General features: G+C 39.9%; 1 protein-coding gene across 6 annotated transcripts in view; it reads left to right on the forward strand.

Annotated features, from left to right (window-relative positions):
- RAB3GAP1 (RAB3 GTPase activating protein catalytic subunit 1) overlaps nt 1-25,287 on the forward strand; it is a 124,105-nt gene extending 98,818 nt beyond the window's left edge. For 2 of the 6 annotated variants that reach the window (XM_011510823.4, XM_047443732.1), the window contains 7 exons: nt 2,540-2,767; nt 11,446-11,542; nt 11,639-11,742; nt 11,877-11,992; nt 13,485-13,587; nt 17,436-17,640; nt 24,218-24,507. In XM_011510823.4, coding sequence (XP_011509125.1) covers nt 2,540-2,767; nt 11,446-11,542; nt 11,639-11,742; nt 11,877-11,992; nt 13,485-13,587; nt 17,436-17,640; nt 24,218-24,378 — 1,014 coding nt within the window. In that variant the 3' untranslated portion in view covers nt 24,379-24,507. Of the gene's footprint in view, nt 1-2,539; nt 2,768-11,445; nt 11,543-11,638; nt 11,743-11,876; nt 11,993-13,484; nt 13,588-16,583; nt 16,605-17,435; nt 19,602-24,217; nt 24,508-25,139 lie in introns of those variants that run through there. The other 4 variants (XR_001738674.3, NM_001172435.2, XM_011510825.4 and 1 more) reach the window with 4 other exon arrangements.

Consider the following 27,362-nt stretch of genomic DNA (forward strand, 5'->3'; position numbering starts at 1 on the left):
CATACAGGATTCAGGGAATGGTGACATTTGGCTTATTAGCTTAAAAACTAGGAATGAAGAAAGGACTTTTATTTTTGAAAGCAAAGGCAAGTCCACGTATATGTTAAAACCCCAAGTGGGTAGCCCCATGGGCTACAGGGCTTCCTTTCCTACTGCTGATACTCTGAACTATCCCCAGGCGCAGACTTCCCTCTTTATTTAACCTGTGGTGGCCTCCACCTTGCCAATCCATATCCCCTACTCAGTCCTGCTTCTGTACTGTTTAGGCCAGTGTGAGTTTGATTTTTCTCTGAAACACCTGTGTATTATTTTTAAACATAAACACTCCACAAACACCTATGCCACTTTCATCCTTTTTTGCTAGCAGATTTAAGTGACAATAAAAGGGAGCCTTTTGTTTCCTGCTTATTTTACCCATCTTTTCTAAATGAAAAACATCTTTAGTGAACCTCTTAAGAGCTATATGTTTTCCTTGGAGACTAAAATGATACAGAAAATCTGCAAGTTCTATACTGCCATGTGACAAGAAACAGAGGAGTTGCTTTAAAACAAATAGTTGGTACAGTGGATAAAGAGAAGCCAGTTGGCTCTTGGGGCACATGTCAAACCAAAAGGTAGAGAAGGGAATTGGCTTAAGGTGTGTGTGCACAGCAGGAAATACCAGCCTCCGCAGCAGTAATTTTCCATCTGACCTCTAGCTGCCTTCAGAGTCATCTTTCCCTGTCCTGCTGCAGTGTCTTTGCAGAGGCATGCACGGGAGGACATTCCAAATAGGAACTACGGAAGTTTTTCCCCATGGAAACATACTACTCCTTCTTGGTAAAGTTCTATATAGTTCCTCTAACACTGCACTTCAGCAAAACTGTGATTCATTAGACTATTTTGGGCTAACCTGGGTACCTGCAAATCTTACATGACATTGTTTTAACCAGAAAATAGACAGTAATTTAAATAGTCAACTTACATATACACCCATATGTAGAAATCAGATAATACATTTAAGGAAATATGTAGTTATTCTAAAATAGATATGGTTGCCTTTACTTTTTGTATAGGGATGAGTTAGGGGCTCTTGAGAGTCCCCAGAGCATTGGAAGCATACTAATATGTGCCTGGGCACCTACACCTACACCTCAGAGTTCCAGAAGGAGAGGGTGGATTCTGGAGCATGCCCTTGTGGTACATACCTTTAACAGTAAAGAGAAGATAAGCTCAAGTGAACCTTGGCCTTCTCTTGGTAGCTATGTTCAGCCTAGTATAGTAAGGACAACCAGAAAGAAGAATTTTGGTATGAAATGCCTTTCTTCAATATAATCTATAGTGTATGAGTGAATATTATTTTCTTTTGAAGTTTATGCTCTTTACTCTGGGCCTCTGGTTTCCTAGGATGTTTTCATGTGGGTATGATGTTAACTGATTAAGATCTAGATCTTTGTACATGAATCCTGAGTCACCCAGTATCATGAAATAATCTTGACCCACTGCTTTTGCCATGGACCGTATCATAACCCTTTTACATTTGTGTTGTTGACAGTCAGTGAAGGATCTTCTAGGGGATATGCCCTTAGGGGTATATCCTAAGATGGTAGGGATGGTCATGCTGGTAGCCCTTGAGCTCAGTGAGGAGAAACTGGTAGTTTTACTCTTCACATTTAAGACAGAACATTCTCATCATGGTAGTTTTCATGCCCATCCTTAGGACTCTACTAGTACATCACTGGAACACTTGTAGAAAGACCTCTGTGCCTTACCACAAACACTGGGAAGCCTCGTCTTTTTTTCCAAGCTTGAAGTTAGAATCACTGAAAGGTTTTTGGCATACATCATCATTAATTCTATAGAACTATCCACTGAGTAAAACTTTAATCAGTTTGGTTCCAGAAGCCTGAAAAACAGTAGTTTGAATTCCAACTCGTTAACAGCACAAAACCAATTAATTTGATGGTAATTTGTTATATAAAGTACAAGAATTTGATGGCAGAATAGAACAGTTTTGAGGTTAGCTGACATTTATTGCAGAACCAGTATTGATTTATTGAGGAAAAGAAGAACAGAACTTTTCCATCACTGTGTTATTCTGATCATGTGGTGTATTATTTAATTTTTACTTTTCTTAGTATTGAGTAGTTATTATACTGTAATATGAAACTAAGCTGTGTAACACATAATGTGTTTAAGGAAATGATTTTCTCTTTACATCGAGTTTTTATATCCAAATTCATTGAATGAAAGTGTTTTCATTACTAAGTTATATAACACATAATGTGTTTAAGAAATGATTTTCTCTTTACATCGAGTTTTTATATCCAAATTCATTAAATGAAAATGTTTTCTTTTTCTATAAAGCTGAGAAAATAAAAATAAAATGCTTTTGATACTTTAACATCTGACCTATTTTAAAGGTGACATCCAAATTCATTTTACATATTAGATTGTAAAGATTAGATAGGCTTTTTTTGAAAATACAATTTTGCAAACAGGCTTATCAGTAACTGTTGATTTTCATTTGATTCTGCTGAATTTTTTTGTCTTATTTTAGGCAGCTAATCCAGGTTGCTCCCTGGAAGATTTTGTGAGGTGGTATTCACCCCGGGATTATATTGAAGAGGAGGTGATTGATGAAAAGGGCAATGTGGTGCTGAAAGGAGAACTGAGTGCCCGGATGAAGATTCCAAGCAATATGTGGGTAGAAGCCTGGGAAACAGCTAAGCCAATTCCTGCTAGAAGGCAAAGGAGACTCTTTGATGATACACGGGAAGCAGAAAAGGTAATTGAGGTTTGAGTCTCTAATACTAGAATGCAAATTACTGTTCTTATGATTTAGGAACTCACTGTCATAGACGTGAGAGTTTTGGACACACTTGAGGTGCAAAGCATTGAAATTCAATGAGCGTTTTATATATCTACTATTCACATTTAAGATTCTAGAACTAGTTGCAAATAGGGCAAATAATAGGCATGCATAGTTTAAACAGACTGCTTACCATTGAACTGTCTCACAGTATATGTTAAAAGTGTTAAAAATGGGTATGTCCTTTGAGCTAGCAGTTCTATCACCAAAACATTTTTTAAGGAAATAATGAGAAATATACAAAGATCTATGTATATAAATGATGTTCAACAAAGTTCTTAAGTGAAAAAGTAGAAACAACCAAAGTTTCCAACAACAGGGACTTGGTTCAATAAATTATGGTATATCCATTAGTGGCCAGCTTTACAGCAGCTATTAAAAAACATTTGGAGTTATGGAGAATATAGTGGCACCTGCCTGATATTTAATTGCCCTGCACACCTTCCTACCTCCTCCACCCCCCCAAGAAAATCCCGTGAAATCAATAAGTAAATAAATCCATGCATTCAGCATTACTAAGAGATAGAAATTGCAATGACCTTCAAATTAACAGTAAATAGAGAAATAAGCCAAATTCCAGTGGAGCTCCCACTGCTCTCAGTCTTTGCAGATATATTGAGTAGGGGGCAGGAAAAGAAAAAGAGCCAAGAGATACAGAAGACTTAGATGAAACACAAAGTCACCCCAGAAAGAGAGAGCCTAACACTACATGCCAAAACACTGAACACAGGTAGGGTTTGCTAGTTCACAGCACTTGCCACAGGGAAGGGACTTGAATGTAAACAGGGCTAGAAATGGAGCCTTGGAGAAAATCAGATATACAAAGAAGGAGTGGATGGGAATGATGAGAAAAAGGAAATAAGAGGGGAAAATTAAGGATCTTGCGGAAATGAAAGAAAAACAAGACAACCAGCCTCCCTCATCTCCCTCTATCCATTAAAGAAACTTCAGAAGAGGGCACTTTGAAGCTATTTGTGATATTACTAGGAATAGAAGAGAACAGACCACATCCATATAAAACTACTTTACAAAACAGAAAATGCAAATCAGCTCATTTCAGGTAATGAAAATATTTCCCAGAAAATCAGTCACAAAGCAGAAGAAAATTGTAACATAACATTCCAAACTGAATCAGATATCCTCAAACAGTTAAGGAGGATATGAAAAAACCATGTTTAATCAGAAATACTAAAATCAAGAACAGAGATGGACCAAAAAACCCCACAAAGAAATGAAACCACAACTGATTTAGCTCAGGATAGAAGTAAAAGAAAAAAGAAAACCATATAAAAAATGAAGACTAAATTACAAGAGGCCCAAGTTTAAATTTTATAAAGGGCATTGAAGAAAAGTGGGAAAAGAGCCCAGAAAATGAAAATGAGATATAGGAGTAAAAGGAATTGAAGAGAAAGTAGTATAAATGAAAGATAAGAAAAGTCAGAATATGCAATTCATTAGTTTCCTTTAAGGAGAAAAATCAGAATACTAAGACAGAACTAATACAGTCCCTATGGCTTAACAAAGAGGATACGTTTTGAGAAGCTCCTCATTAGGCAATTTTGTTATCATGGGAACATCATAGAGTGTACTCACATAGACCCAGATGGTATAGCCTACCACTCAGGCTAGAAAATTAGTGGAATACAAACTTTCTATTAAACAATATGGGTGAAAGGGGAAAATACAAATTGAAAGTACAGAATTTTTGAAAAACAATGAGGATGAAAACATATGAACCTATAGGCTATACTTAAGAAATTGATGAAAGGAACTTTCATAGCCCTGTATCAGTAAAAACAAAAGGATGAAAATAAATGAATTAAATTCCTAACTAAAAACCCTAGAAAAAAAGTCAAATCAAAAGAAAACAAAAGGAAGCAAATGAAAAGGAGAGAGTGTAGAGAACACAAAACAGATGAAATTAATGAGTTCAATCTAGTTCTTTTAAAATCAACAAAATAGAGAAGCCATTAGCTAATTTAATCAAGAAAAGGGAGAGCACATATATATAATAAAATAATAAATGACAAAAAGGGCACATATTAGTAACTACTGATACAGAGGAAATGTGTTAAAAATACTACTTTGCACATCTCTGTGTATGTAAATTTGAAAATCAAGTTGAATTAGACAATTTCCTAGGGAAATTCCTACCAAAAATATAATGTATATCAAAACTACCCCCAGTAAAAACAGAAAGTATAAACAGACAAATTTTCATAGAGACAATTATCAAGGAACTGCCACATTAAAAAGAACCAGGCCCAGATGGTTTCACAGGGAAATTCAACTAAATATCAAGAAACCATATAGTTCCAATGCTACATAAATTATTTCAACACATAATAATTGGAGGAAATTTTCCAACTTCTCTCTGTGAAGCAACTATAACATTGGTACCTAAACCTGGTAAAGATAGCATATTTTTAAAAATAGCAGACCAGTAATACTTAAGAAATTTAATGCAAAATCGGAAGTAAACAGACTCTAATATCATTTTAAGAAAACAATACATGTTGATCAAATATGAGGATGATTATTTAGAAGTCTGTTTATATAATTTGCTTCCTTAATAGATTTAAGTAGAAAATTGTATCTCTATTTATGCTGAAAAAACTTTTGATAAATTTAACTTAAAACTCTTGGGAAAAGAGTGGAATAGATGGCTACTTCCTTAAAATCAGAAAATATATAGAAACTTTAGTCCTAAACACAGCATCTTAATTTGGGAAGCCTTAGGGGTCACTAAGGTCAGGAACAAAGCAAGGATGCCTGACATCTCCACTGCCAATCAAAATTGTTCTGCAGGTATTAGCTAGTGTAATTAGCAAGAGAAAGCAGAGGCATGGGAGTTGAAAGAAGAACTCTGTTTGCAGTGGTATGACTCTATACTTGGAAAAATTCAAAAAGTCAATGTTAAAACTAATAAAAACAAAAGAATCCAGGAAGGCAGCATGATATATAGTTAACATACAGTAATCAGTAGCATTCATATACACTAATAACCATTTAGAAGATCTAAATATAATTTTCATTATAAGGGGAAAGTAAAATACTTAACAGAAAATATTTGAAATCTTAATGAAGAAAACAAAACGCTCCTCAAAAACACACTTGAACAACAGAAAGATAGCCCTCAAACTCCTAGGCTCAAGTGATTCTCCTGGCCCAGTTTCCCTAGTAGCTAGGACTACAGGTGAACACCATGATGCCCAACTAATTATTTTTCTTAATTTTTTATAGAGATTAGATCTCACTGTGTTGCTCAGGCTGATCTCAAACTCCTGGCCTGAAGCAATTCTCCTGCCTCATCTTCCGAAAGTGTTGGGATTACAAGTGTGAGCCACTGTGCTAGCCTATGCTTTACTTATTCCAAAAAAATAACAAGAATGGAAAGAGGAAAAATAAACCTGAAAGCAAGTTGAGATACATTAATCCAGCTGTATTTTAAATGAGTAACATAACCACACCGACGGGGATTGGTGAAGGGAGGATGGAAAATCTAATCCAAGTGATTTATCGACACATCAAATGTGTTTGACTGTATACTGTCAGTTGTGGTGGGGGATGGGACTGCAAGAAAAATCTTGAGGCCAGGCGCTGGTGGCTCATGCCTGTAATCTTAGCACTTTGAGAGGCCGAGGCAAGATCACCTGAGGTCAGGAGTTCGAGACCAGCCTGACTAATGTGGTGAAACCCCATCTCTACTAAAAATACAAAAATTAGCTGGGGGTGGTAGCACACGTCTGTAATCCCAGCTACTCAAGAGGCTGAGGCAGGAGAATTGCTTGAACCTGGGAGGCAGAGGTTGCAGTGAGCCGAGATCGTGTCACTGCACTCCAGCCTGGGTGACAGAGTGAGAATCCATCTCAAAAAAAAAAAAAAAAAACAAAAACAATCTTGAACCCTATTATTATCTAAGCTTGGTTTTTGTAATGATACGGGTACAGCAATTGTGAAACTCTTTTAGATGTATTATTGGTTGGGTGAAGTGAGTAACTAAATATGTTGGTGGTGTTGGAAGCCAGAATTTCTTACTGTGGAAGTGAGATGCAAATATGAAATAAAGGAAGGCAAGGAAGAACGCAGTGGCAATGAATTGGAATTGGAGGTATTGGTGTGGACTTACGAGTTTTTAAAATATGGATAGGTATGTGGGTATGGACATAGTAACTATTTGTGTATATGTATATACACAAGCAAACATTCCCTGGCTTTCTTCTGAAAGAGTCTAGAAGCACTGACACCCTCATAGCAGTGAGCACACATAGCTTGATTTTTTTTTACACATTCCTTTTTTTAGACATTTAGTAACCATGCTTTCCTCAGAAAAATGACTGATTTCAAGATTGAGGCAAGGAAGGTACAAGATGAACCTGGAACATCCTGGATTGCTCGACACTAAGGAAGTGCTTTAAAAAAAGATGGGGGCATTTCATAGAGAGCTAACTTGAAAGGACTCACATTGGCCAAATCTGGGACAATTTTGAGTTGTAAATATTTAAGGACAGGAATGATTATAAACCGTTGGAAAAAATAGGAATTCTTGGAACCATATTGATAATTAATGGATAAACAACTAGGGGAAAGGGGAAGTCATTTCCTACAGAGCAAAGATGAGTGGTAAATGTAGAGGATATGTTGGAGTTGGAAGTCTTCATTTTGCAACCATGTTCATAGTAAGGATTGGTTCACCAAGAATCATGAATATTAAGTCTAGGTGGAAAATTGAAGAGCATCATCTTGCATGATTTTTAAGTGTTTCTCTATAGAGTGCTTCTGCATTGCAAGGAAAGTGGAGAAATAGGACAGTATCTCCAAATTAACATCACCAATGAGGAGTAAATGGAGATCGTACACATTGGGCTATGATACTCTGATGGACCCAACACCACTTAACATGCCATTTGGTTCAGGAATGTAAAATCTTAGTCTAATTGTGAGGGAACATTAGATGAACCCAAAATGAGGAACATTCTATTTTAAAAAGATTTTGAAAAAAGAAAAATTTGCAGAAGTTTGGGGGCATATTAAAGACACAGGAGCCAACTGAAAGAGTTCCCAACTGGCCAAGACTGGAACAATTTGAACACCAAAATAAAATAATATTGGATTGTAACTCAGAGTACAAAATAAATATCCTTGAGTTCATACTGGTATAAATAATTGATTGGATATATAAATTAATGGGATAGAAGGGACAAATCCCCTGTGCAGAATTCTAAATGTATATAGATACTCCACCCTCAAGGAGGTGAAGCTAATTCCCACTCTGTAAGTGTGTGCTGCACATAGTGTGTTCCTCCCAGAGAGTACAGTGCACAGAGAGGGGAAAGGAGTGATGTTACAGTGCAGCAGCCCGACTGACACTGTCTCAGCCAGGTGGTGAAGGTTAACATCCACAGGCTAAGCCATACTGGCGGTATGTACTCCTGACATGATGTGATGACAGTGGCACTTTACCTCTCTGGTCTTCCTCCCAGAAATACATAACCCAGCTTAATCATGAGGAAAACATCAGATAAACCATAATTGAGGGAGTTTTTATGAAATACTTGACCAGAACTCAAAACTGTCAAGGTCAGTAAAAACAATGAAAACCTGAGAAATGTCACAGCCAAGGGAGCCTAGAAACATGACAGCTAAACATAATGTGGTATCTTGAAGGGGATCCTGGAACAGGAAAATGACATTAGATAAAAACTAAGGAAACCGCGTACATACATACATGCTGACAGCATTATTCATGACAGCCAAAAAATGGAACAAACCCAAATGTCTGTCAGTGATGAACAGATAAGACAAATATGGTCTGTCCATGCAATGGAGTATTATTCAGCCATAAAAAGGAATGAAGCACTGATATGTGTTACAACATGGGTGAATCTTGAAAATATTATGCTCAGTGAAAGCAGCCAGAAAACAATGGGCTGCATGTTGCGTCGTTCCATTTATATGAAAGGACCAGAATAGGCAAGTCCATAGAGACAGTAAGTTAGATTAGTAGTTGGCAGCAGTGGAGATTAGGAATGGGGGAAATCAGGAGTGGCTGCTTTGGGGTACTGGGTTTCTTTTGGGGGAGATGAAAGAAAATATTCTGGAATTAGATAATGGTGATGGTAACATAACCTTGCAAATATGCTAAAAACCACTGAAGTTATCCATTTTAAAGTGGTGAATTTTATGGTATGTGAGTTATAACTCAATTTTTAGAAACTAAGGAAATCTGAATACAGTATGGAATTTTAGTTAGCCAAAAAGTAGGGAGGAAGAGGAAACTATACTCAAAATGCCAATGTTATAAAAGACAGAGTGAAAAGCTGTTGCAGATTAGTTGAGATTAAAGAGCTATGATAACTAAAGGCAATGGATGATCCTTACCAAGACTTGTAGTGGTTGAGGGAAAGGGTCATAAAAGACACATTTTGCGGCCGGGCGCGGTGGCTCATGCCTGTAATCTCAGCACTTTGGGAGGTTGAGGTAGGTGGATAATTTGAGGTCAGGAGTTCGAGACCAGCCTGGCCAACATAGTGAAACTCCGTCTTTACTAAAAATACAAAAATTGGCCGGGCAGTAGTGGCCATGTGCCTGTAGTCTTAGCTACTCAGGAGGCTGAGGCAGGAGAATCGCTTGAGCCTGGGAGGCGGAGGTTGTGGGGAGCCAAGATCGCACCACTGCACTCCAGTCTGGGCCAACAGAGAAAGACCCTGTCTCAAAAAAAAAAAAAAAAAAAAAAAAAAGACACATATGGGATCAGTTGACAAAACTGCAATAAAGATAGTAGGTTAGATTACAATTATTTTTATCAGTGTTAAATTTATTGTATATAATCAGAATCATTTGCATTTTGATTATATAATAAAATATTTTTAATTTTAGGAAATACAGATATTTTGGGATAAGGGACATGAGTGTGCGACTTATTCTGAAATTATTCGAAACAAGTTTATGTCTATAGTATGTACACACATGAAAGCAGAGAAAGATGCAAGGGATCCAGAACAGAGGAGGGAGACAGGTCATACGTGAATCCAGGTAAAGGGGAATCACATATTTCACGTTATTCCTGCAAATTTGTTTTTCTGTGAATCAGGGGAAAACAAAATTCAGAAAGGTGGGTATTAGCAAGGATGTACAACAGAGGGAACTCATTACTCTAGATAAGAATGTAAATCTGTTGAAACACTTTGTAGGATAATTATGTTGTACATTTCCTAGTTCAATTGTTAGGTATATATCCTAAAGTAATTGCTGTACATGTCCCATTTGCACCAGGAAATATGTGCAATAATGTAATAGGAGCATCATTTGTAATAGCCAAAAACTGAGGAGCTATCCACTACTATTAGTGTAGGAACATTTTAATACAGCAGTGAAAATGAGTAAACTATAGCATATTGGAATGGTATACGAATATCAAAATACTGAATGAAAAAAAGCAAGTCACTGAGGGCTATAAACAGAAACACTCCATTAATATAAAGGTTAAAACTAGACAAAAGTAAACAATATATTATTTAAGGCTACATATGTGAAAAAAACCATAAAGAAAAGCAAAAGAATGATTTGTAGTTAATTCTGGGGATGGAGGGTACACAGGAGGACTTGGAAAAGCCTGGTAACATTCTGTTTCCTAAGCTGGTGTTTTCTTTAAACTATTTCTAATACTCTAGTATGTATATTTCTTAATTTAAAAAAAGTTTCAAATCAGACAAAACTCTCTAAGCCAAAAAAAAGTCCACCACAAGTCATTAAATAAAGCAAATAATAAAACAGTATGTAAGTTATTAATTTTTGTTAAGAAATTACATATGCATCTACATTTTTGTGTTTAAATGGACATACAAGTAGTTTGAGAGGATAAACACGAAAATGTGGTTTTGGGGAAGTAGGATTTCAGGAAAATTTCTGCATCACCTGTATTTTTTTTAAAATTTTGAAATCCATGAGCATTTATCAGTCAGACTCACATTATGAGATTATACTTCTTAAAATTTTTATTGATGTAAAAGAATTGTACATATTTATAGGGTTATACTTCTTTTATCTTTACTGTTGAATAAGGAGCCTAAAGGTAGGGTCCATGTTTTGTACATACTTCTCTGTATTCTTATAATAAGAATTGGAAAAAAAATAAACCAAAACAACTAAAACCAAAAAATGTGTGGGAAGTCACTAACAATGTTTAGAAATATTAAGTGAGAAAAGCAGGTTAAAAGGCAGTATTTTACATATTTAATATTAGTGCCCTTAGTACGTGTATTCTGCGTCTTAAAATGAAAATGCTCCACTGTCAATGGTTGTTTTCTCTTGGTATTGTAATCAGTCGGTAGTTTTTATTTTCTTTGTATTTTCCTTATTTGTGTGTATTACATAAGAAAGCAGAAAAAAATAGAATATTTATAATTATTAAAGATTGAAGTTCTTAGGTGCTTTCAGTAACATTATCCTCACCTTTGGGGTCGTGGCTGCCTATCTGGAGTGCTGTCTTGTTAAGGATTAAGATGAGTGGCTGAGGATTTGCACTTCTGTAAGTGGCTGCTTCATCCTTTGACACCTGCGCTGATCATTTGTGTGCGCTGCACCTCCTTCAGGTGCTGCACTATCTGGCAATCCAGAAACCTGCAGACCTTGCTCGGCACCTGTTACCTTGTGTGATTCATGCAGCTGTACTCAAGGTAAAGGAAGAAGGTAAATGTCATATTTAACTAGTCATTAGTCATTTCCAAAGTGAAAGTATATTTTGCTTAATTTATTTAATGCTGGCTTCAATCTTTTCTAAAATAGAAAGTCTCGAAAACATTTCTTCAGTTAAGAAGATCATAAAGCAGATAATATCCCATTCCAGTAAAGTTTTGCACTTCCCCAATCCAGAAGACAAGAAATTGGAAGTAAGTTTGATGTAGTGTCAGAATCTTGCCAAGTGTTCTCCTCAGTTGGCAAAAATAATTTTTAAGATGCGTTTTCAAAGGGCTTTGCTTTTTTGCCATCTCGCAATGTATGCCTCTTCCTTTTCTACCGCCAGGAAATCATTCACCAGATTACTAATGTGGAAGCTCTCATTGCCAGAGCTCGGTCACTAAAAGCCAAGTTTGGAACTGAGAAATGTGAACAGGAGGAGGAAAAGGAAGATCTTGAAAGGTAATTGCTATTTGGCTAATTCAGTTTTGTCTGCAGTAGGAAAAGCCACCACTCTCTTAAGAAAAATTGTAATAGGATATTAAGACTCTTTTGTGGTAATCATATATTATTTGAAACAAGCATTGTCTAGAGACAGAAATAATTATCATAGCATTTGACCTCTCCCGTATTTCTGAGTCTCTACCAGGTGTTTCCATTCTTCCCACTTTTAGAAACAGTCTCCCAGAGCCTCCTTTTCTAGGGATTCCTTGGTTTGCTCTTGGAGATGTGGTGTCTGGAATTTCTTGTGGAGGAGCTGTTAACTGTGTTGCTCACCCTGCCCCAAAACTTTGTTTTCAGCTGTTACTATTCCTTGACCACAGGGTGCAGGTGCTGAAACCATTTCTGCTTACTGTTCCTAGTTGTTTATTTTAAACAAGATTTGTGATAGCAAAGGTGCACATCCTATGTGCCTTGCGATTATGTTTTGAAAGATTGACCAGATGGCTTTTCTCAGATGAAGCAAATGATTGGGGCATTCTCTTTATGAGACTCGGCACCATTACCAATGGAGCTTAGATCAGTGTGAGGCCCTGTTCATTTTTTGCCCATGTTATTTGGAAGGACAATATTGTTTTAATGTGTGATAAAGTGTTCACAAATTAGCTTGTTCAGTGGCTTAAATTTGTCATCATTTAAAAATTTTCATTAGCCTTTCCATAATAAATGGCATTATTGATGCTAAATAATTAATATTGTATGGCAAGGCATTTGCTGTCTTTTAACAAGTTTGTGTTTGAATTTTATGTCTTTTGTTAGGTGAAGTTTTCTCCCACACTGCTTTGCTCTTGAAAATGTCTTCCTTTTAAATGAGAAGAATAAGCTCTAATCAAGGGACTCGTTTCTAAAATAGTAGAGTATGAATTAGTGAGCAGGTGGTGCAGGTTTGGTGGCTTTGTGCCTTCAACTCTGTTAGTTCCACCATACGTTATCTGTGACATACTTGGAAGTTCAGTGTTTCCAGCATCTAATGGCACAGTTTACAATTGCGACTTTGCCCAACACAAGTATTTTAAGCATATGTGCACGTGTGCGTGCACACACAGACACATACCCCTTAAAAAAAACAAAAACAAATATGGATCATTGCTTTTATTGGATAAATATAACTTGGTTTATATTATACAATTTTTTTTTCATCTTTTATTAACTGTAGCATTTTCTAAGCTTCTAGTCTGAAAAAAATAGACTGAATATTTTTTCTTACACTTTGACAGAGATAGGCTTTAAACATTTTTTATGAGCACAGGTGAAAAAGCAGGAAGATTGTCAGTTAAGTCGATAATAATTCCAAATGTCAATCTTATCTTGCTGTAAAATTTCACTCCAACCTTGTTGGGTTTAGCCAGTATCAGCTTGAGGATTTGTCCACAAAACTCCTGTGGGAGGATGGACGCCCAGTGGCCTGGACAGCTCACTTTCCACCCTTTCATTGCCTGTCTCTGTCTCCTAGGTTTGTGAGTTGCCTGCTGGAGCAGCCTGAAGTGTTAGTCACCGGTGCAGGAAGAGGACATGCTGGCAGGATCATTCACAAGCTGTTTGTGAATGCCCAGAGGGTATGTGAGAGTCATTATTGACTCCATCATAATCTCTCCAAACCTCTACTTGGGAAGAGGCTGTTTTAGTTCCCACACGTGGCTGATCACACTCATGTCACCTGAGTGTAAGTCTGGGCATTGGGTTTGAACACTGAAGAAACAATGACTTCTGAGTCTTCGAAATCCATTTGATTTCTTACATGTTGAATTAAAATGATAAGTATATTCTAGGACCTAAATTTTAAAAATTAGAAGAGTCCAAAATCCATTGTTATAGAAGCTGGCAGGGAGTCAGTTAGCAATGGCCAGTGCTGTGCTGTGGGAAAAAATGTTTACTCACAGGTACTTTCAAATGAGAATGGAGTTCAGTTTTACCATCTTTAAACCCCATGTAGGGCAAAGTGGAGTCACAACTCAGCTTGAATTATAAATATAATTGTTCTTGTAATGGTGAGGAGATCTACCTTTGAGGTTTCCTAGAAAAGAAGAGGAAAACTTCAGATTTTTAGGGCTGTGGAAACAGATTTCAGCACAGAAAGAAAGCCCAGTTTGAAAAATTATCATAACCATTACCTCTAGTAGTGAAAGTAAAGATTTTAAAATTATATTGTATCTTGGTTACTGGCTAAGGGCTCTGGCATCCTACAGATAATTCTCAGTTCAGGGCTCATTAATATTAGGGATTCTGATAAAGGCGTTATGTGCACTAATTACACGCTTCCCCTTATATGGCACTGTGATTACACTAGAATGACCCAGTTTTGAGAGTGTAATTTTCAGAAACAAATAAGAAAAAGAATTTCTATGTGTCTACACGTGGAATAACAACTGGATAATCCCTGTAGAGTTGGTCTGGAGTACAACTAGTTAATATATTCAAATTCATAGCCAAATACACTGATAGGAATTCTTAGCAAGAGCTAAAATCTGAGTTTGTTTATGGGGCAGCTCCCTAAACCTCAGAATTTCAAATTAATAACCAAATATTTATTTCCTTATAAATTAGACTTCTAGCAAACAATAGATGCTTGCTTTGATTTATTTTGTTTTTCTCTCTGGCATGAAAACAAGAACCGAGTTTGGTTCCACATCTGATAATATCTATCCAGTTCACTACCCAGAAGCTTACAAGCGCATTTCCTTGTTAGCTACCAATATGAATGTTCCTCATATTGCAAAAATTCTTTCCTCTTTGATCATTTTTAATAAGTGACATGTTGGCTGGGTGCGGTGGCTCACGCCTGTAACTTTGGGAGGCTGAGGTGGGTGGATCACCTGAGGTCAGGAGTTCAAGACCAGCCTGGCCAATGTGGTGAAACCCTTTCTCTACTAAAAATACAAAAATTAGCTGGGCGTGGTGGTGAGCACCTGTAATCTCAGCTACTTGGGAGGCTGAGGCAGGAGAATCACTTGAACCCGAGAGGCAGAGGTTACAGTGAGCTGAGATCATGCCACTGCACTCCGGCCTGGGTGATAAAACTCCATCTCAAAAAAAAAAAAAAAGTTATGTGTTAAGAGGATTTAAAATGTGAAGTATTTATATTTTTAGTCCTGAGATTGTTACTTATTTTAGATAACTAAGCAAAATTATTTTCCCCAAAATAGAAATAACCTCCTTACCCCCTCTACTGACTGCAAGTAAAACTTTGACAATATAGGAACTTTTATATTTATTTATTCATTTTTTAAAGAGAGGGTCTCACTCTGTGGTCCAGGCTGGAGTACAGTGGCAAGATCATAACTCACTGCAGCCTTGAACTCCTAGGTTTAAGCAATCCTCTTGCTTCAACCTCCCAAGAAGCTGGAGCCACAGGCATGCACCACCACGCCCAGTTAATTTTTATATTTTTTGTAGGGACGGGGTCTCACTTTGTTGCCCAGGCTTATCTAGAACTCCTGGTTTCAAGCAATTCTCCTTCCTTAACCTCCCAAAGTGCTGAGATTATAGGTGTGTGTGAGCTATCACACCTGGCCTAGAAAATTATAAGAAAATATTAATCACATAATCTCACTACCCATTGATGATTTAACATCTAGTATATACATATGTATATATAATTTTAAAAGTAGGGTTATATTATATAATTACTTCATTATTCTTGTTTTCCACTTAATATACTTAAGATATCTTTCAAAATCACTAAATACAGGAACATAGTATATCATCTTTCAGTAGCCTCATTGTATAGCTAACCCCCTTAATGGCTACTGAAATTGTACATCCATCTACATTATGTCATTTAAGAAAAGATTTTAAAGTTTTCAGACCTTGTAGTGAATGTTTTTAGGGAATTGGTAGACTGTGTAATACATATAACAAGCATCTGGTTGGTACATTTTTAAACTCAGTTTTAAATGTCTGGCTGAAGTAAACTGTTAGAATTTATTCATGTAACTTTTCATTAGCTGATACTTTATATCAATTTTACTAATTAGTCAAGATTTTAACACATTTTTTTAAAAAGTTGTGATGTAATTTCACTTGGTGTTTTTATAGCTTATAGTAATTCTATATATTTATAACTTTTCTTTAAAATTATAAATAGTAATAAGCCTTATCATGATTATAGGTATCTCTGGTATGTACATACTTAAATGGAATTCAGCAAATAAATGACTGACTGGATTTCGCTTCAGACTTGCTAGATTGAATAACTGTTAGGCACCTATTCCTAAATTCTATTTTTCAAGCCATGAACACTTTTTTTTTTTTTTGCATCATAATTCCCAGTAAAAGAGCTAGGTTTTTGTTGTTCATTTCTCCCATTAAATGACATCATATGTCACCTGTTGAGCCATGGATGCATGAGTAGTAGTAGATGTCTGCTGTAGTTGACAGCTGGGTGTGCTGTGTTTGGTGTGACTTTGTCTTGAATATTCTTTTGATAGGATCATGTTCCATAATGTAGTGCATACTGTCTTTGAAATAATCCTGAACTCCCTTGTCTAGCCCTATTTAAACCATCTTGCTTGTTTCCCTTTCATCACTGTTTCTTTTCTTACCCCTTCTCAAGCTGACTGAATCTTCTGATGAGGTAACAAAATAGCCTTTGCCCCTCATAGTTCCTTGTTCCTTCCCATCCCTCTAATTTCATAAGGTCATTAACACTAACCACCTCTCTCACAGTCTGGATTTGGCTTACCTACCTTGCTGATGTTTAGCGCAACATGATTTCATGTTTCCATTGCCAAAACAATTTTTTTTCCCAAATTGATGGTATTAAAAAAAGTACAGTAATCAGAATTAAAATTGTAGGCTGTAAATGAACATGCATTTTATGTCATTTCAATGAAAAAATAGATGCCTTTAATATTGCGAACTTCTCTTTTGTGGTCATTGCTATATGGGCCTCTATCACTTCGGCATCACATTAGCTGCCCAGCAAGCAAGACCAATGCCCCCACTTTTAATTTGGCAAGTGAACCTTAAAAAGAATCGATTAAAAAATTCTTACCCAGAGTCAAGATGAAAATCATCTTTTCACTCTGGAGAAAAACAGCTCCTTACTGGACTGAGGCTGTCAGACGTAGACTTGGGTCATTGCTGGAAGAAACATAGAAAGCAGCACAGCTCCGAGGTCCTTTTTCATCAGATGTGTAAATATGGCCTTCTCTCTTCAGAGCAGATTGCCTGGCAGTCATCATCCCTCCTGTCTGTCTCCAGCCCGGCTGCTCATGCAGTGTCTCAAGCTTCTTGCATTTGCTGTGTTATGTGGTTTTTGAGTAATCTTAACATATAGCTGACTGCATTACTGAGTAACGTGGGACATTTTCATATCTTTATTATGTTAATTCATCTGTCCTTCAAAAGCATCTGAGTTTAGCATTTGACCTGCTTTTGACTTTAGCATTTGATTCTTTTCCAGGCTGCAGCTATGACTCCACCAGAGGAGGAATTGAAGAGAATGGGCTCCCCAGAGGAAAGAAGGCAGAACTCCGTGTCAGACTTCCCACCCCCTGCTGGCCGGGAATTCATTTTGCGCACCACTGTGCCGCGCCCTGCTCCCTACTCCAAAGCTCTGCCTCAGCGGATGTACAGTGTTCTCACCAAAGAGGACTTTAGACTTGCAGGTGCCTTTTCATCAGATACTTCCTTCTTCTGATTCTTCTAGCATTACTCGTTGGTGGCTTCAGAGACAGTGCTGCCTCCTCCTGAGGGAGGGAAGGTACCAGGGAGAACCTGGGAGGTCCTGGAGAGGGCCCTGTCCAGTTGGGTGATCAGGAATCAAACCAGCATCGGAAAGACTTCCCAGCACCAAGCTTGAGCTGTGTCGTTTCGTGGAGGGGGCAGCGAGGATGGGCTTGAGCTGTTGAGAGATTTCTGCCCTAGAGATGGCCTTTGTATATGGGGGGGTGGTGGGGGGACACAAACACATCAGACACTCCGTCCTCACACTGGCAGGACGGTGTTCATCGCATTCTCTTCTGTGACCAGCCTCTAGGCTAGCGGCTGCATTCGTGGTCTGTGCAAACACTTCGTGGTTCTATATATCAGCAGCAAGTGTGCAAAATAAAGGACCTGTTAACTCAGATTTCTGGATATTTTGGTGGTAGCTTCTAGTCCCAGAATCTGTGTTTTTAAAATACTACATGACATTCTGTCTATTCAATCACCTGGTGGTCATCTTTCTTGTACTAATTAACTGTTGATGAGCATTTTGGATATTCTAGGAGAAAGCCTATAATTTCACATAGTTTCTCTTTTTCATGTAACTGTAACCTAAATGTATTACTTCTGATAAAACTATATATCAAATGTCACTGCAAATTAGTTTTATATCTGTCATGTGAGATTTGTCTTACTTATTTTTCTTTTGGTTGCCATGGAAGTTATGGCCCTGAAAATCGTCTCCCTCCCCTTCTCTTGCTGTACAGCATGCGTTCTCTTTTTGTGGTTGCTGGCTGGGTACTGTATTTAATGAAGTAGAGAATAGCACTTGCAAAAATACAGTCTTGGTACCTAGAGACTGTCATGCAGATAGTATAATTTGGTATATGTGCTAATGCATTGAGTAGAGGATTATTTTAACACACTATTTTGCTTTTGTATTTTAGTTAAAATAATCGATGGGGATGTGTAGCCCCCCCGTGTGAGGATGACATCACCACATTTCTAGTTTCATGGAGCTCAAGATGTCTTGTGTCTGTGTGGCTAGATGGCCTCTGCTTGGTAATCTTATTTTTAGGCCTAAAATTCCCACTTAAATCCAAAGTAAAAATGGTTATACTGAAGCATAAACCTTGCCTGTGTAATTTTAAAAAATTAATAGAGCTGTGCAAACCCTGTTATTTTTGTAAAAAAAAAAAAAAATACATATCTATATATAATATGTGTGTGTGTGTGACATATGCACACGTCTCTGTGTATGTGAAGTAGGGGAGGCCCTGGGGGATGACCTCCCAGCCTTTATGATGCTTTTCTCTATGCTGCTGGACTTCATTCTTACTGGTCCACGCAGATGCAGGCGGCCTGAGGCCAGTGCTGTACCAAGTAGAAGACGGTTCCTAAGGACAGAGTTTGTCTGTTTTCTAACAAAGAAAAATTCTACAAAGGAGAGGTTGGGCGTTACAAAGGCATTGTGAATCTAATAAAAGGAAAGTGTCGCTTTCTGTGGCGTTTTCTTTCATTTTCTCCCGCTGAGGCATTTCAGTCTAATTTCATGTGGTTTTGTGCTGTCTCAGCTCTAATGTTTGCAGCCTGCTGAGCCTAACAAGGCAGTGGTCTCAAGAACATTCTTTGTGCCTTTTTAAAGTACTCCATTTTATTTTTATGATAGTTATGTATTTATTTCACAGATATATTTAAGTACCCACTTTGTGTCAGGTACAGTACAAGCAATGAAGATAAAACAGAAACCAAAACACACTCCCTTACAGGGAAAACTGACACCACGTTGCCACAAAATGTTGAGTATAGTCAACTCTGCTGTGTGGATCGGAGGGCCTGCATTTATCCTACAAATAATTGAATGTAATCCTACATTCATGTATTCATTGGCAGTACGGAGTAATAAATGCAGCAATGTCATAAAGTGTTGTAGGAGTTTCTTCACCCAGGCTTTGAGGATCAGGAAAATTACCCCAGAGGGTGTGATTTTGGGATTGAGACCAGAAGCTGAGTAGGCACTGGGGAAAGCATGGGGGGCGTATGGGAAATGGCTTGCAGAGAACCAGGCATTCCTCCAGCCCTGTGTGCAATGAAATCATGATTTTCATTGTGAAGTGCTTTATTTCTCCACCTCTTCAATCTGGTCTCGGCCATGTCTTTCTTTGGTCAACAGACAGAGACTTGACAAGTCCTTGCACATTGGGGCTTGCCCTCCCTTCTTGCCAGGAGCCTTGAAGCCACTGTGAAGAAGGCCACTCTAGGGTGAGAGTTGGGGCAAAAGGTAACTGACAGGAGGGGGCAGAAAGCGTATTACAAGCAGAGGAACGGAATGGGCAAAATCCCAGAAATAAGGGAAAATGTCTATTTGGGGGGCAGCCAACATTTCTATTTGGCTGAAGTGTGGTATCTAGAGTGGGAAGGGGCAAGAAATGAAGATGGTGAGGTGAACTAAGGCAAGACCAAGAAGTTCGGGGGAAGCCGCAGCTACAAGTTAGGGCTTTGCCTTTGGGGCGGTAGTGAGTCACTGAAGGGTTTTGTGCAGGGGAGTGACATGGTGGGTTTTAGAAAGGCCACACTCTGGCAGGAGAGGAGATGCTAAGAAAGTATACAGCTGTCGTATATCTTGAGCTAAACTGTCTGCTCCTTAGAAGAAAGGTGGCAATTACAACTGCAATGTGTTTTTTAATCCACCTGTGTGCCTGAGACCGTGCTCCTAAGAGGTGCACATGCTTGTGAAATGGCCTCTCCAGGGCCCTCCTACCCCCATACATTCCTATACCACTGTAATAATTCAGATTTTTCTTCAAGTTGGGGTATTTTAAAACCCTAAGCATTTATGTTTATATTTCATTCATTAGTCCAGCAAATGTTTATTGAGTACCTGCTATGTGCCAGGTACTGTTCTAGGCATCAGGGAGACAGCAGTGACTAGAACGTGGAAGACCTGGTGCTCAGGAAGCTCACAGTGTGGGACACCAAGTGTCAGCAGTGGGTCTAGGAAGGGAGTCTGTCTTCTAGGAGGTTTGATAAGGGAGGGGCTTACGAGGCAGTGACACTTGGGCAGAGACTGAAGTGAGGAAGCAGTCCTGTATATAGATGACTAGGAGAAGACTGCAGACAGGGATTGGCCAATGAAAAGCCTGAGGCAGGAGTGTACCCGGCACGTGGGAAGCACAGAAGGAAGGCCACTGTGGCTGAAGGGGAGTGAGGGGAAGAGGGGCAGGAAAGAAAGTTGCACACGTGCAAGGGCCAGATGTGTAAAGCTGTAGGAGTTGAGATTTGTTTTCTTGATTAAGAAGGGAAGCCATTGGAGAGTTTGAACCAGGGAATGTCATGATGTGACATTTAAAAATCTCTTTGGGGCTGGGCGCAGTGGCTCGTGCCTGTAATCCCAGCACTTTGGGAGGCCGAGGCGGGCGGATCACATGAGGTCAGGAGTTCGAGACCAGCCTGGCCAACAAGGTGAAACCCCGTCTCTATTAAAAGTTAAAAAAAAAAATTAGCTGGGCATGGTGGTGCACGCCTGTAGTCCCAGCTACTCTGGAGGCTAAGGCAGGAGAATTGCTTGAACCTGGAAGGTGGAGGTTGCAGTGAGCCAAGATCATGCCATTGCACTCCAGCCTGGGCAACAGAGTGAGACTCTGTCTCAAAAAAAAAAAAAAATCCCATTGGCCACTGTGTGGAAAATACACTGCAGAGGCTGGGGTGGAAGTAGTGAAACTAGTGAGACGAGGGGAGGTGAGAGCACTCTGGACTGGTGTGGTAGCCATGGAGGGTAAAAGGGATCAGATTTGATACAGATCTTGAAGGCAGAATGTGCAGAATTTACAAATGGATTCAGTGAGGGTCTGAGAGTCAAGGATGACTTGAAGGTTTGGGACCTGAGTGAATGATGCTGTCATTTACTACGATGGAGAAGACAGGGAAGAGCAAGTTGTGGGGCTGCTGCGAGTGATGAATTTGAGCTTGGGCCATGTTAATTTTTAGAGGTTTATTAGATGGCTGTGGTGGCCAGCCTCCTGCCTCCAACTCACACACCCTGTGAAGTCCCCCAGACCCACACCCATTGTACCAGGGTTAGTCTCTGAACAACAGAACATGGAGGAAGTGTTGGTATGTCACTCCCAAGGTTGGTTATAGGAGCCATTGCAACTTCTATTTTGGTTCGTAAAGAGAGGCCCACATGGTGCGGAATGGAAGGTCCCTGCCAACAGCCACATGAGTAAGCTTGGAAGTGGATCCTCCTGGCCTGCAGGTAACTGCAGCCTCAGGAGGGACCTTGGGCCTGGACCACCAGCTAAGCCACTCCCAGATGACTGACCCTCAGAAACTGTGTAAGATGCTTATTTTTAAACTGCTAAATTTGGGGGTAATTTATTATGCAGCAATAGATAACTAATACCCAAGCGGTTGGCTATATAAGTTTGGAGCTTAAGGAAAGGGTTAGGGCTTATAATATAATAAATTGGGAAACATAGATAGTACTTAAGCCATGGACAGTATGAGGTCACCCAAGCAGAAGAGGTCTGGGGATTGAGCGAGAAAGGAAGAGGAGGACAAAGACTGGCAGAAAAGATGAAGAAATAGTTACTAAGGCAGAAGGAAAACCAAACGTGTGATGTCTTAGAAGCTAAGAAAAAACATACTTCAAGAGGGTGGGAATTGATCAATTGTGTCAAATGCCACTGAGATGACAAGTAAGATGAGGACTAAGAGGCGACTGTTGTGTCTGTCTATGCAGAGGAGCAAATGCATTCAGAGAGAGGCAAATACTTCTTACTGGGAAAGAATAGAGAAGGGGCTGCCTCGAGGGCAGTCTGGGAAGGTCAGTACCCCTTTGCTAGCAGGGTGGGTGCACTTAAAACTTCTGCCCCAAACCAGGTGGGGTTTGGGTTTCTTGCATTGCTCCTTGCCAGGCATTGGTGGGCAGGATGTGGAAGGGGAGAAGGTCATGAAGCAGCTGCCAATTTGCCTCAGTCCAACAGGTGGCCCGTCTACTGTCCTGGCCCCTACTGCCAGCTCCTCTCTTCTGGGCACACTGTAACAGATAGGGGTGGGTGGGTGGATGGATGGATGGTTGGATGGATGGATGCCTCGATGCCTCTATGGCAAAAGAGGCCCCACTCTTGTGTTTAAATCTTCTGGCCTCTAATTTACGGTCATCTGGCATCATGAGACTAAGTTTGAGAATATTAGCTCCTGGAAGCCCAGGGACTCTGCCGCTGGCATTTCTTTGGCTCTCAAAAGTGGAACTTGGCTAGTTCTTGTAGCACAAACTCAAGCTACTTCATCTAAGCACAACTTCTCTGCCAGCTCCTCCCCTGGAAGCTTGTGATGTCTGACAGGTGGTCATGGATAGATCCCTCCAAAGTGGAAAGTCCCCCCTCTTGCAGGGAGCGTTCTTGGCCTTAGCTTAGCAGCCAAGGATGCAGCTGAACCAGAAGACCCCCAACTTGGGACCCCATCCGGAGAGGGTGGCGACATGGCCCAGCCCTCAGGGTTGGGCCCTGCCACCAGCCCACCACAAGCCCCATGACAGGAGCGCTGTGTGACCTGTGCTCTGGAATGGCCCCTCCTCTTCAGCATGTGCCCCAAAATGGGATGGTGTCCCAGGAGGCAGTCTCCGTCCCTCACTCATCCAGGAGTCTCCCAGCCTGCCTGTGTGCTGGGCCAGGGCCTTGCCTTAAAACAGCCTCCTCTACAGACACCTTTGCTTCCATTAAACTTTGCTTCAGAAAGGTGGCCTCGGCTGTGGCCAGATGGGACACCATCAAAGCTCTTCCAAAGCCCCCCCAGCCACAGGACGATTTGAGTAAATAATGACTTGTCCATGCTGTTTGTTCACATTCCTCTTTCTCAGCCCTATTTTGGCCCAAAACACTATTTTTGCCCATGTTACATAACGAGGGAACTGCATTCTTAGTAACCCACTGTCACTCTGCTGTGTTATCTTGCCTATATGAAAAAATGAAATATTTTTAGAGTGTGAATTTCCCAAACGTCCTCAACTATTCTGGGACTGAAGTCACAACATCACGAAGGGAGTGCGACGGTGGGAGGCCCAGCCTCCTCTGTGGCTGTGGCTGTGGCTGAGTCCCACCCAAGGGCTTCCGTTGCCACTGAGGCTGGGTTGGGACGTGCCCTATCCTGCCCTGTCCCAGTGGCAAGTGGCTGTCTCTGCACAGGGCTTTCCACTGTCAGCAGTGGACTCCGCAGCCTAGGAATACTCTTCATTGATTTTCTTGACTCCTGTTGTTACTTTGGGGAAAAAAACACAAGCAATGGCCTGTCCTCTTAGGGACTCAAGTAGGAGGCTGAAATCCCCATTGGGGGTTAGTCCAGGTGAGCAAATTACCCTGAATAAGTGTGTAGGCTCCCTCCCTGCCACCGAGGGACATGGTAAGAAGGCTTCCCCAACACAGGTGTTAGCAGGGTTAATGCTGTCCCATCAGTAAAGCAAACCTGTCCAAAACGCTCAGGGGTTTCAGGCCTTGCCATCTGGCTGGGGAGCCAGACATGTTTCTTTTGTGTGTTTATCAGCTCCCCAGGTGTGTCCTGGTAGACAACTGCTCCCAGGAGCTGGCATAGAAGCAAACCTGCAGGAAAAGCCAACCCACTCCAGGTGTGTGGAAGCTGCTGGCAGGAACCCAGCAAGGATCCAGCTGGGTTGTAATGGAAACAATGCAACCAACAATCCTTGAGCGAGCCGGGATAGATGTGGCCTCATCACTGAAGATTTCATCTGAGACCTCTGCAAATATCCAAATTGTATATGCTCTTAGAGCAGATCATTTTCTCACAGGTAAATAAAAATCTATGTTAAGTAGAAATTATGAGTGGCCCGTTCCCCTGCTACCCACTTAACTTTTCCTTTCTTCTGTGTGTTCAGACGGAGAGAAAAGACAAAAGCTATGTTGGGTCACTTCTCAGGACAGAACTTGGCAAAGTGGCCATAGAGCTAATTTAGGGGATACATTTTCAATTAGGAGATAGGTTTTCAAATTTGAATCCTAGGTTTTCAAATTCGAACTCTATCAGACGTGGTAGAGAGCTACTGATAAATTTGGCAAAAGATATGCAAGGTTTCCAGAGAGAAAATCATGAACCTTTATTGAAAAAGAATTAAAAGACATTTAAGTTGATAATGTCAATATTGCCATTGTTATATTATTTTGGTAACATACCATTGTTCTTGTACAGAAAGATAAGGTACCACAAAGATGTCCATTCTCCCCACAATGACATATGATTCCAAACAAAATCCCCAAAATACGGTTTTTGGTGTTTTTTGGTGGAATTAGAATAGTTGAATCTGAATTGTATATAGAAGTGCAAAAGGCCATGAACAACCAAGCAATTCTTGAAGAATAAGGTCATGGATATTGCTCTATAAGATAGACTTACTGTAATGCTATACTATAAAAGTATGGTACTACCCTATGATCCAACCGTCCCCCTACAGGTTGTCTAACCAAAGGAAAGGAAATCAGCATATCAAAGAGATATCTGCACTCCCATGTTGATTGCAGCACTGTTCACAACAGCCAAGATGTGGAATCAACCAGAGTGTCCATTGGCAGATGAATGGATTAAAAATGTGGTGCATGGCCCGGCGCAGTGGCTCATACCTGTAATCCCAGCACTTTCGGAGGCCAAGGTGGGTGGATCACTTGAGGTCAAGAGTTCGAGACCATCTTGGCCAACATAGTGAAACCTCGCCTCTCCTAAAAATACAAAAATTAGCTCAGCGTGTTGGCACATGCCTGTAATCCCAGCTACTCAGGAGGCTGAGGTATGAGAATCCCTTGAACCCGGGAGACAGAGGTTGCAGTGAGCCGAGATTGCACCACAGCACTCCATGCCTGGGTGACAGAGGCAGACTCTGTCTCAAAAAAAAAAAAAAAAAAAAAAAAAAAAAATATATATATATATATATATATATATGGTGCACATACACAATGGAATACTATTCAGTGATTAAAAAAAAGAATGAAGTCCTGTGATTTGCGACAACATAGATGAACAGAGAGGATATAATGTTAAGTGAATAAGCCAGGCACAGAAGAATGAATACTGCATGTTCTCACTCATATCAGGTATCTGAAGAAGTTGGTATCATAGAAGTAGAGAGTAGAATAGTAGTTACCAGAGGCCGGGGAGGTGGTGGGGGATAGCGGGAAATGGGAAGAAGTTGGTTAATGGGTACAAAGTTACAGTTAAATACGAGAAATAAGTTCTGGTGTTTTATTGCACAGTAGGGTGACTATAGTTAACAATACTGTATTGTTTATTTCCAAATAACTAGAAGAGAGGATTTTGAATATTCTTACCACAAAGAAATGACAAGTGTTTTATTGGGGGAACCCGCCCCCAGTATTTCAACATAGGTTCTTTCTATTTTCCATAAGTGTCGGCCAGCTGAGAAATAAAGAGAAAGAGTACAAAGAGAGGAATTTTACAGCTGGGCCACCAGGGATGACATCACGTATCAGTAGGACCGTGATGCCCACCTGAGTATCAGACCAGCAAGTTTTTATTAAGGGTTTCAAAAGGAGAAGGGGTGTGAGAACAGGGAGTAGGTACAAAGATCACATGCTTCCAAGGGCAAAAAGCAGACCTACTAATAAGGGTCTAACAAAGATCACAAGACAGAGGGCAAAAGCAGAACTACTGATAAGGGTCTGTGTTCAGCAGTGCACGTATTGTCTTGATAAACATCTTAAATAACAGAAAACAGGGTTCAAGAGCAGAGAACCGGTCTGACCACAGATTTACCAGGGCGGATTTTTTCCCCACCCTAGTAAGCCTGAGGGTACTGCAGGAGACCAGGGAGTATCTCAGTCCTTATCTCAACTGCATAAGACAGACATTCCCAGAGTGGCCGTTTATAGGCCTCCCCCCAGGAATGCATTCCTTTCCCAGGGTATTAAAATTAATATTCCTTGCTAGGAAAAGAATTTAGTGATATCTCTCCTACTTCCACGTCCGTTTATAGGCTCTCTGCAAGAAGAAAAATATGGCTCTTTTTGCCCGACCCCACAGGCAGTCAGACCTTATGGTCGTCTTCCCTTGTTCCCTAAAAATCGCTGTTATTCTGTTCTTTTTCAAGGTGCACTGATTTCATATTGTTCAAACACACGTTTTACAATCAATTTGTACAGTTAACACAATTATCACAGTGGTCCTGAGGTGATGTACATCCTCAGCTTACGAAGATAACAGTATTAAGAGATTAAAGTAAAGACAGGCATAAGAAATTATAAAAGTATTATTTGGGAACTGATAAATGTCCATGAAATCTTTACAATTTATGTTCCTCTGCCACGGCTCCATCCGGTCCCTCCATTCAGGGTCCCTGACTTCCCGCAACAGTGTTTGAGGTGATGGATATGCTAATTACCCTGATTTGATTATTGCACAGTCTATACTTGTATGAAAACACTGTACCCCATAAATATGTACAATTCTTATGGTCAATTAAAAGCAAAAGTTAAGGCTGCACATGATGGTTCACACCTATAATCCCAGCACTTTGGAAGGCTGAGGTAGGAGAATCACTTGAGCCCAGGAGTTCAAGACCAGCCTGGGCAACATAGCGAGACCCCATCTCTATAAAAAGAAAATAGTAAAAATGGCTGGGTACAGTGGCTCACGTCTGTAACCCTAGCACTTTGGGAGGCCGAAG

The sequence above is a fragment of the Homo sapiens genome, chromosome 2 (genome assembly GCF_000001405.40).
Source record: "Homo sapiens chromosome 2, GRCh38.p14 Primary Assembly".
NCBI lineage: Eukaryota > Metazoa > Chordata > Mammalia > Primates > Hominidae > Homo > Homo sapiens.